Genomic DNA, 11,579 nt, shown 5'->3' on the forward strand with positions numbered 1-11,579 from the left:
ACTTCTCCTGCCTCAGCTTCCCAGTTAGCTGGGACTACAGGTGTGCACCACCATGCTTGGCCTCCAGTGTTGTTTTCTACTTAATGTATATTATTGACCTTTAAGTTGTCCTGTAATGTTTGGATTTTTTTGAAGTTTCACTTCTTTTTTCCTGTAGCCAACATTATATTAAATGTCAGGATCAATCCCACAGCAGCCCTCCCTACAGATATATCCATTTGTGACACTCTAAGAAAGTCAGTGCTGTGTATAAAAATATAACAAAAAATTATAAAAATATTTTTTAAGAAAAGGCTTTAAAGCCATGTTTCTATCAGGACACCTCCTTGTTACATATGAAACATAATCTGTTTAAAAATTCAGCCTCTGTATAACGTTTCAGAAGTCTGTCTACTATATTAGTAAGAAATACCTGCACCAAAATAAACCTTAATCAGTAAGACAGTCATTAGGCCAGGCGTAGTGGCTCACCCATGTAATCCCAGCACTTTGGGAGGGTGAGGCAGGACAATCACTTGAGCACAGGAATTCAAGACCAGCCTAGGCAACATAGTAAGACACCATCTCTACCAAAAAACAAAAACAAAAACAAAAAAAACTCATTAGATCTTCATGCCATTTTAAAGTGGTTTAAGTTGTAGGTCTGAAAGAAATAACTTATAAAATGGCTTTTTTTTAAGAACACTGAATTTTCCTTTTTCTCAAAACTGTGGTATTCAGTTTGTCTGGCCATCAGGCACTGTCCTCTAGAGCAGACAATTTCCATTCATCACAAGACCTTAATTCAGAATGCGGGGGTGTGGTCCGTTGTGTAAAGCACTAGTTCTGAGTTTCCGTGCAGTGGATTTTGGGCATAGCATAGCAGTAACCGTGCCGGGCTGATGAGTAGGCCAGCAGTTGAAGTAGTGTGCATTCTTTTCCAGTGCTGGCAGCTGCCGTGTTTGCTTTCCGAGCAGTGAACCTGATGGAGGTGACATCACTGGCTGCAGCTGAAGTAAGGATAAGTTTCACTCAGATGGGATGGAAATAGTTTCTGAGAGATTGCCAGGCTGTCATTTTAGTGTCTGTTGCATAGGACACGCGTTACTTGTAGCCAGGTTTTTTAACTCGGGTAAAACCTGTTAAGTTCTGAGCTAATAATACTTAAGGATTCAAATTTCTTTAATTACTTGAGAAAAGTCTTCTTATGAAGGAGTAATAAACAAGATTATTATAGGAAACCATTATAACCATATGGGAAACCAGATACCTGGTAATTTTAATGGAAACAATTGGGGTTTATGTTGCATTTTTTTATCGTTCATGTCCATGCATTATTTTCACAGAAGAAAAACCACTTGAGAGAATTAAAGAGCATGTATTTGGATGATATAGTGAAGATACATGGGCTTTTTTGGTTATTTTAAATTGTGAGTTAATTATTTAAAGCTGATTTCTTTTCAGTGGTATAATTTATACCTGAAATATGGTTCAATTAAATAGTGTTTACTGTATTATTCTATTTGTTATCTTTCACAGAAATATAAATTTTTCCTTAAAATAGCTGCCTGCATTTTTGTTTAAAGGGAAGAGGATGTTTATGCATCTTGTAACTGAATAAACATTAGTTCCATCTCAAAATGATTTCCTGCAGTCAGTTACTACTTACACTAGAATAACAGGACTAGGATTCATAATGTATGCTTATTTATAGAAGCAAGTTGAAATGTTAAACCTGTTATAAACTCATGCTACCTTGTATATTTGAAGAAGACTGAGGCTAACATCCAGGTTATTTTCTACAGCACATTTCAGCATTTTGCACATGTACTAACATTAAGATATTCTGAAAAGAGAAGGAAAGTTGTAGCTTTAGTATTAAGATTTAGGACAAATCCAAAGAAGGAGCTTAGTGTCAAAATTACATTGTAATTATGTTTACCTTATTTCATAGACTTCGCTTTGCTATTAATAATTCTTTTTATTTTTTGTTTCAGGCAGTTCTTGCTGACCTTTCTACTTTAAAAGTTATGCCTCTTCTTCAGATTTTTCTGTTTGCTACTGTCACCTGATCTTCTTCACAGTCACTGGCAACACATCTAGTTTTTCATTAGAAACAAATCATGAACTATGCAAACTCTGCATAAAACCAAAATGAAACTTTGCATATAAGCCAATAAAGATCATGTTCCCTCTTCAGTTAAACCTAAGTAGTTTCTCACTTTTTGAAACAATAACTCTGCACCAAATATTGCATCGCATGCTGCTGATTTTCAAGAGAGAAGCAATAAACACAACTTCTGCTAAATTGAGCATTATATATATAATATTATAATATATATATAATCCTGACTTGTCAATGGCATGTAATAATATATGCAATAAGAACTAAAGATACTGTAATAAACTTCAAGAGGTAATGTAGCTTCTTGGATAATTCTTTTATGTCAGTTTATAAATTTATCTCTAGATAATGTATTGTTTTGTCTCATAAATTGCTCCTCACTAAGAGCCAGGGGTGGGGTAGGGTGTGAGAACACTTGAAAAAGATAATGTTTTTAAGTAGGAATTCAAAAGTTGCTTAAATGGTGTTTTAAGCAACTTTTTACACCCCAGGGATTTTCTACATTTCTCTCCATTTTATTTCTCTCTTTAAACATCTCTACTGGGGAAGGTCGAATACAATTGTCTCCATTTGACAATATTTTATGCTTGACTCTCTGAAAGTCAGAAAATTATAGGTGATCCCTTTTCACTTCTCAACCTTCCTTCTCTTGCTTAGAAGACTTGACATTGCCGATGCTTGTTGCCAGCTTCTGTTACTTTGTAACTATACAAGGAAGACACCCAAGAGAATGAGGAGTCAAAACCCCATTCACTTTTGCTGAAGCTTGGTTTAACAAGATTTACTTCTAGGGCAGAGCAGCTGAGAGAGATTAAAAGTAGGTAGTAGGCATTCATTCTAAACTGCAGACATTATGCAAGGCATCAGCCTTATTTTGGGCTTTATTATAAGTGAAGGGTCTTATTTTGTATTACTTCCTAAAGACCTACCATTTCTGTAATATGGAATAATAGTATGTGGGGTAAAAAGTCCAAAAACTATTGTCCTTTGATTTTAGTTTCAAATTTAAGATGCTGATCACTTCACTAAAACTGTAAATCAGTAGATTGATACGCTTATTGATTGCCTAGAATTTTATTCAGTTTTACCCAAATGTATTTTATGAGTCTTTTATTTTGGCAGTATGTATTAGGAAAAATGCTTGTTGATTTACTAAGAGCTGAATAATAATTTATTCCATGATTGATTCTTAATAAACCCCATTTTATTGCTTTTGAAGGTGATGCAGTTATAATCCTATGCTTTGTCATTCTTTGTTTGCAAATGCACATTAATTGACAGGACAAGCACACACCCATGACTATTATCTACTCTGAGAAAATGGCTAAATATTAGGAAGAGAGTGAGTTTTAAATGATCTCGTTCACATGCATACAGATATGCCCATCTTTGGCTTTTTTCTTTAGGAGAATATGCATTAGCTTTTTTAAAAGAGGCAACGTAATAGTCTAGTACACTAGATTGGAGAATTCTGGTCCTCAGATGGGGGAATTTTGGTCCTCCTGTAAATCCCTAGATAATGTAAGCTTTCTTATCTGTAACTGGGGTTGAGGGACTGGCAACAAATGGTAGGAACTTATTGTATCTTCTCCATTTACCTTGCAGGTAGGTAAGGACCTGTAGGACCAAATGAGAAAATACTATATTTGAAAGTAATTTTTTAAACTGCAAAGCACCAAGCAAATGAAGGATATTGTTGGTACTTAGTTTGTATGTGACATTTTAAGGTCAAGTGGTAGAAGATGATATATGAAGAATGCACAACTTCATTAGCATTTCTATCATTTAACCTGATAGTTTAAGACTATGTCTGTAAAGATGAATGGACCATGCCATAGCAGATCCTTTCATTTGAAACAGGTGGCTCTAGGCAGTAGATCTGAATCTGAATCCCAAAGCCAGACCTGGTTGACAACCACCCACTTTGCTGCTTCCGCAGACCCCTCTCTGCCAAGCTGTGCTCTTGGCTGCTTGTTAAAACACTGCACTGAGGGTCATCGGGCTGCCTTACCCATGCTATTTTTTTTTTTTTTGACGCAGTCTGGCTCTGTCACCCAGGCTGGAGTGCAGTGATGCGATCTCAGCTCACTGCAACCTCCACCTCCTGGGTTCAAGTGATTCTCCTGCCTCAGCCTCCCAAATAGCTGGGACTACAGGCATGCGCCATAACACCTGGCTAAGTTTTTGTATTTTTAGTAGAGACAGGTTTTCACTACGTTGGCCAACCAGGTCTCAAACTCCTGACCTCAAGTGATCCACCCGCCTCAGCCTTCCAAAGTGCTGGGATTACAGGCGTGAGTGACCACACCGGACCTGTCCGCTCCATCTTTAACCACGCCTCCTTAGGCTCCTTCATTTGGCTTTCTTCCTCTTGCATCCTCCTGTGCCATCTCCTTCCAACCCCTGACACCCCCTTCACATCTGCTCTGCCAGTGATTACAAAGATTGGAGTAAACAGTGATACATTGGCATTGATGTAGCCTAATAGGCAAATTGTATTTGGTTCTTCAGGGTGTCATTTCACCCACTAATGTGATATGTTATGACTTTATAGTATAGAAGAGTTTATTGAATAATGGTTTTGTTGAGAATGCTCTGGTAAGGCAGTGTTCTGGCTAATAGAAATTTCCAGCTTGTCTTAACTTCACAACACCCCATACTCAGCATGTGCTCTCTTCTCCTATTTTGCAGGGAAAATAGAGACCATTAAGCTTGAGTTGTCTCAGCCTTCTACTTCAGAATTTAGCTTTTTCTCTCCCCCCAGATTTATCTCCTTCCTTCTTGCATTAAGAAGTGTCTAGTCTAGTCTAGTCTAGTCCTGTAGTTCTCTGAATGCAGATTTGATTGTGCCATTTCTATGCTTGAAAAACTCAACAACTTCTCATTGCTTAAAGGATAAAAGCTGGGCTCTGTAGCATAACAGGAAAAATTCTTCATCGCTTGGTCTTTTCATTCCTATGTTCCCACAATGATCCATTATCCTGTACTTCAGCCTCTCCAGATTCCATGCTGATTCTCAACCAGATATGGCTGTTTATTTTTGTCTCCACCAAAATCTTCTCCATTTCTCAAGGCCTTCCCCCAAAATTTTTCTCTGTTGTGAAGATACCATGGAGCCTATAAATTAAATTAATTATGCCCTTCTCCTTGTTCTTATAAAACTGTTCATCACTCATATGATGCTTATAGTATTAAGTGATAGCTTTTTGGATATGTGTTCTGATTTTGTCACTTTATTCTCAAGGCAGTTTTCATTTACTTGTCTGTCCTAAATGTGGAAGATGCAAGCAGAAATTTGTCCATGTATGTCTGTATCCCTTGACCTACTCAGAAATTGTTGGGATCTGTTTTCTATAAAACATAATTTCTCCTTTGTATCTAGTCTTCCTTCTTCCACAAATGCTCTGATTTTTCTTTAGTGATCTACCCCTTCCCCATGTGCATCAGGTGAGGCTGACTTGCATCCCCAGGACCTCTGGGTCCTAGCCAAGTAGTCACCATGTACTGTTCCTCTGGCCATGGGGATTGCTTCAGGACCAGTGCAAAATCGAGACCAATGAGAGCTAGTGAAACTTAATTAGGAAGCTTTGGTTTAATCTTTCAGGGAAGCTGGATATGAAAATGAAAGAATGTAGGTTGTGTAGCTGCTGCAGTCTAGGAATGGAGAGAAGGAAAAGCTGCTCTTTTGGCCTTGTTGATCCCCAGATCGTGCTGCACCAGTCTACCTCTGGACTATTTTTTTTACAAGACCCAAAGGATTTTCTTTGCAACAGAAAGGATCCTAACTGATGGCAGTTATTTTCCTTTTAGGTGATGCACAATAATAAGGGGTATCATTATTTGGTATAGAACCCCTGTCTACACACTGCTCAAACTAGAGTAGTATATTTTAACTTCTTCTAATCAAGACACAACCATGACCTTACAAGGATAAATTGTATATTTCAGACCTACTGAACTACTCGAAGTACCTAATACAAGGTACATATTTTGCCTTTGGCCCTTTGCCCTTACAGCTTCCTCTGCTTAGAATGCCTTCTCTTCCCTCTTTACCTAACTCTTACTTGTACATCAAAACCCACCTCAGGTATTGCATCATCAGGGAAGACTGCTTCTCTTAAGAATCCTTAACCCCTACATATACATAAGATGTATTATAATCAAGTTAGCTTGTCTTTCACTCCCACTAGACTGTGACTCCTTGAGGACAAAATTGGATTCCTTTTCAGCCATATATCTCTAGAATCTAGCATTGTGTTTGCCCCATAATAGACTTTAGTAAATATTTATTGAATGAACGAATGACATCATCTATTCTAATTCACTCATTTACTGATAAAGGAATTTGCGGAGTTGCCTTTGGAAGTCCAAAAGGAAAGAATATTTTCAGAGGAAAAAATGAAATGGTTCAGTCACTCTTTTTTTTCATTTAAGTTAACTTTATTAAGTATAATTTATGTACAATAAAGTTATATGTATATTTTATGTAAAATAAAATGCATTTTAAGTGTACAGTTCTATAAGTCTTAACAAATGTATATACCCATGTCACCACCACCACATCAAGATATAGAACATTTCCATCTCCCAAAATAGTTCCTTTTGTGCCCCTCCCCATCCAATCCCCCATACACGCATTCACTCCAACCACTCATCTGCTTCTGTCCCTAAAGATTAGATTCATCTTTTCTAGAGTTTCACGTAAATGGAATCATCCATATGTACTTTTTTGTGTCTGGCTTCTTTTGCTTAGCATGTTTTGAGATTCATCCATATTATGTGATAGTAGTTCATTCCTTTTTACTACTGCCTAGGATTTCATTGTATGAGTATTTCACAATTTTTTTATTTACCATTGTTAATGTACATTCATGTTGTTTTCAGTTTGGGTGTATTATGGATACAGCTACTATAAACATTTGTGCACAAGCCTTCATGTGGACATATATCTTCATTTATCTGGGGTAAATACCTTAGGAGTAGGATTTCTGGGTTATGTGTAAGCACGTGTTTAACTTAGAAGGAGGCCTCCAAACTCTTCTGAAGTGGTTCTACTGTTTTACGTTGCCACCAACAGTATATGAGTTCCAGTGTTTCCCAATCCTTACTACCAACACTTGGTGTTGTCATATTAGTCATTCTAATAAGTGGTTATAATTTGTATTTTCCTAATGATATTGAGCATATTTTCATACTTATTTGCCATTTATACATATTCTTTTGTAAAGTATCTGTTCAAATCTTTTGTCCATTTTAAATCAATGATCTTACTAAGTTATAGGCTAGGTGTGGTGGCTCACACCTATAATCCCAGCACTTTGGGAGGCCAAGGCAGGAAGATGGCTTGAGCCCAGGAGTTCAACACCAGCTTGGGCAACATGGTAAAACCACATCCCTACAAAAAATACAAAAAAAATTAGCCAGGCATGGTGGTGCACACCTGTAGTTTCAGCTACTGGTGGGAGTGGTGGGGATGCTGAAGTGGGAGGATCGCTTGAGGCTGGGGGTTAAGGCTGCAGTGAGCTGTGATCCCGCCACTGCATTCCAGCCTGGATGACAGAGGGAGACCTTGTATCAAAACAAAGAAAGTTGTAAGGAGTCTTTATTCTGGATGTAGCATATGGTTTGCAAAATTTTCTCCCAGCCTATAGGATATTTAATTTTCTTAACTATGAGATAGTTAATATTCTTAACTGTCTTTTAAAGAGAAAAAGTTTTAATTTTGTTGAGATCCAATTTATCTATTTTTTCTTTTATGGTTTATATTTTTTGCTTCCTCTCCAAGAAATCTTTGCTTAAGTCAAAGTCACAAATATTTTTTTCCCTATGTTTTCTTCTAGAAACTTTAAAGATTAACTCATACATTTAGGTTTATGATCGCTTTTTTTCCAAGTTAATTTTTGTGTATGGTGCAAGTTAAGGGTTGAGGTTTTGTTTTTGCACGTGGATATAAATCATTTGCTGAAGAGACTGTCTTTTCCCTTTCACATCAGTACCTTTGTATAAAATTAACTGATTATGTGTATGGGCTGGTTTCTGGACCCTCTATTCTGTTCATGAATTTTTGTCTAACCTAATTTCAATATTGCACTCTCTTGATTTTTGTAGTTTTATAGTAAATCTTGAAATCAGGTAGTGTAAGTCCTCTAACTTTATTCACGTATGTTAAAACTATTTGGCCATTCTAGCTTCTTCGCATTTCTAAAGAACTTTTTAATCTGCACCAAAAGAAGTAAAAAGTCTGCGTTAATTTTTATTGAGATAGCATTGGCTTAATAGATCAGCCTGGAAATAATTGATATCATTAACAATGTTGAGTCCTCCAATCCATAAACATGGCATATCTCTCCATTTATTTAGATCTGCTTTAATTTTACTCAGTAATATTTTGTAGTTTTCAATGTACAGTTCTTGCACATATTTTGTTAAAATTATCCCTACTTCTTTCACATTTTTTGATGCTATTGTATTTAAACAATGGTATTTTATTTCAATTTCCAATCTTTTGTTATTAAAATGTAAAATACAATTGATATTTTATATTGACCTTGTATCCTGAGACCTTGCTAAGCTTACTACTTCTACTATCCTTTTTTATAGCCTCCCTGGGATTTTCCATATATACAGTATGTCATCCATAAATAAATAAAATTTTGTTTCTTTCAAATAGGTATGCTTTTTTTTCTTTTCTTATGCACTGACTAGAACTTGCAATTGAATACAGAAGTGTTGCAGCTCACCTAATTTTAAAGGAAATGTACTTATTTCTTGAATAAGTTTAACAAATATTTTTCAATATTTATAAACAATAGTTTGGCCAATTTAGCTATAAAACAGTAGGGGAGGATGGGCACGGTGGCTCACGCCTGTAATCTCAGCACTTTGGGAGGCTGAGGTGGGCGGATCACTTGAGATCAGGAGTTTGAGACCAGTCTGGCCAACATGGTGAAACCCCGTCTCTACTAAAAGTACAAAAAAAAGAAAAATTAGCTGGGTATGGTGGCACATGCCTGTAATCCCAGCTACTTGGGAGGCTGAGGCAGGAGAATCACTTGAACCTGGGAGATGAAGGTTGCAGTGAGCCGAGGTTGCACCACCGCACTTTGGCCTGAGTGACAGAGTGAGAATCTGTCTCAAAATAAATAAATAAATAAAACAGTAGGGGAAAGTGAGACAGATTCAGAAGGAGGTAGGGAGCAATACTGACATACAGAGAAGATAGATTAAGTTTTATGTTGCTGATCATTCACATGGCTTCTTAAAATTATCCTTTTAACTTAAACAGCTGGCTTCAGGTATTATCAATGCCTTTGTCATATTAATTAGAAAATGGTTTTTAATTACTTATTCAACTATTCTTTATCCTTAAAACTTTTTTCTTAGATATGTAGTGTACATATACTTACTCAACAAACATTGAATACTTACTCTGAGCAAGGTACTCTGCTGGACCTTCAATGTATACAGGTATTTGTGTGATTGCTTTTTCAGTATCAAATGTGGTAAGAGACAGTACCCCCTATGAAAATAGAATCTTAGCACCTCTTTCTTAAAGTAATGGCGCCATCCTTCCTGTGATAGGAAAAATAATGGTTCCTCAAAGATATTCATGTTCTAATTCCTGAAAACTGTATATGTTACCTTACCGGCAAAAGGGACTTGCTGATGTTATTAACAATTTTGAGATGGGAAGATTATCCTGGATTATCAGGTGGGCCCAATGTAATGACAAGTGTTCTTATAATTGAAAGTGAAACAGAGAAACAGGAGGGTATGAGTCACAGAGGGATTTGAAGGTGTCACACAGCTGGCTTTAAAACTGGAGGAAAGGGCCATGAGCCAGGAATACAGGCAGCTTCTAGAAGCTGGAAGGAAATGGAGTCTCCCATGACCCTCCAGAAGGAATGCATCCCTACCGACACCTTGATTGTAGGACTTTTGACCTCCAGAACTGTAAGATAATAATGTTGTATTGTTCTGAGCTCCTATGTGGGTCATAGTTTGTGACAGCAATAAGAGATAATCTGTCTCCTCGCAGCTAAATTAAGTTTACTGTATTAACTGTAACGTATGAAAATAACAAATTCACATTGTTTTAATAACCCTTTTTATAAAATAGGTGATTCTGCCTGTCTTAATTTCTCTTGTGTGGTTTTGATAATGATCGAATGTAAACCAAAAATAAAATTCTAAGACCTCCCAACCATCTAAATGGACTTCCTCCTCAGCCAGGGCTCTTAAAATTTAACCTGAAAGACTGGTTCAGGCTATAAAGGGAAGTGGGAGTCAGACATGCCTCACTATACCTCTCCAGCATTAAAATCAACACAGACTTTAAGTCTGATGAGAAACATTTTACAGCCTGTTCTCCCTGAAGCCCACTAGCTAAAAGCTTCATCTGCATGATAAAACTTTGGTCTCCACAACCCAAACATTCTATTGATCCCAGGTTTTTAGACAAACTCAACCGTCAACTAGGAAATGTTTAAATTTACCTATAGCCTTGAAGCCTCCCCGCCTTGAGTTGTCCCGCCTTTCTGGACCAAACCAATGTCTTTCTTAAATGTACTTGATTGATGGCGCATGCCTCCCTAAAATGTATAAAACCAAGCTGCATCCCAACAACCTTGGGCACATGTCGTCAGGACTTCCTGAGGCTGTGTCACGGGCACACGTCCTCAACCTTGACAAAATAAACTTTCTAAATTAACTGAGACCTGTCTCAGATTTTCTGGGTCTACACAAGTAAGATAAAATACATAAAAGTATCTTGAATACAAACTTCTGTTCTGGTGCTGACAGGGAAAAGACCACAGAAAGTTGGGCAAGTGTGATAGAGGAAGAGGGGTGTTAGGGGAAGTCTATCACCAAGTCCTAATGTTTTCTTCTGTGTGGAAGGAGCTCGCTGGTGTAACTGACCTTGTGTCCTGAGACTTTGCTGAACTTACTACTTCTACTATCCTTTTTTGCAGCACCCCTAGGTGATGTACAGTATGTTATCTATAAATAGGCAATTTTGCTTCTTTCAAATATGTATGCCTGTTGTTTTTCATTTCTTATTTGCTGACTAGAATTTGCAATCAAGTATAAAAGTGTTACAGCTCACCTAATTTTAAATGAAATGTACTTCTTTTTTGAATAAGTTTAACAAGTATTTTAAGATATTTATCAATGTAATATTTTGGCTGATTGCTGACCCTCACTCCCTCCTCCCCTGGAGAAGAATGAATTATATTATTGATGAAGTCGGGATATGACAGTGAGCATTTAAAGCCAACCTCCTTCTCTCATCTTTTTCACAGAATCTAGCTGCCCACAGTGAACAGTTCTGCACTGCTCCTCTATTCCCTGAGCTTTACAGAGTCCAGATCCCATGGTATGGAATTGGGGGTGGGGAAGGAGATGGCTGTAGTTGTTCAGGAGCCTGTGTCTAACTCAGTTTTTAAAAGCTGAGGAGCCCATGACTAACTCAGTT

At 37.2% G+C, this 11,579-nt stretch overlaps 1 protein-coding gene across 10 annotated transcripts in view; it reads left to right on the forward strand.

Annotated features, from left to right (window-relative positions):
* The window catches only part of TBC1D19 (TBC1 domain family member 19), a 282,243-nt gene that overhangs the window by 176,220 nt on the left and 94,444 nt on the right, over positions 1–11,579 (forward strand). For 5 of the 10 annotated variants that reach the window (XR_007057937.1, XR_001741277.2, XR_007057936.1 and 2 more), the window contains 2 exons: positions 924–994; positions 11,407–11,480. Coding sequence is in view for 6 of the 10 variants with exons in the window: in XM_047415903.1 (XP_047271859.1) it covers positions 924–994; positions 11,407–11,480 (145 nt within the window). In the remaining 4 variants the exon portion in view is untranslated. Of the gene's footprint in view, positions 1–923; positions 995–1,325; positions 1,621–1,976; positions 3,328–11,406; positions 11,481–11,579 lie in introns of those variants that run through there. The other 5 variants (XM_047415904.1, NM_018317.4, NM_001292054.2 and 2 more) reach the window with 3 other exon arrangements.

The sequence above is a fragment of the Homo sapiens genome, chromosome 4 (genome assembly GCF_000001405.40).
Source record: "Homo sapiens chromosome 4, GRCh38.p14 Primary Assembly".
NCBI lineage: Eukaryota > Metazoa > Chordata > Mammalia > Primates > Hominidae > Homo > Homo sapiens.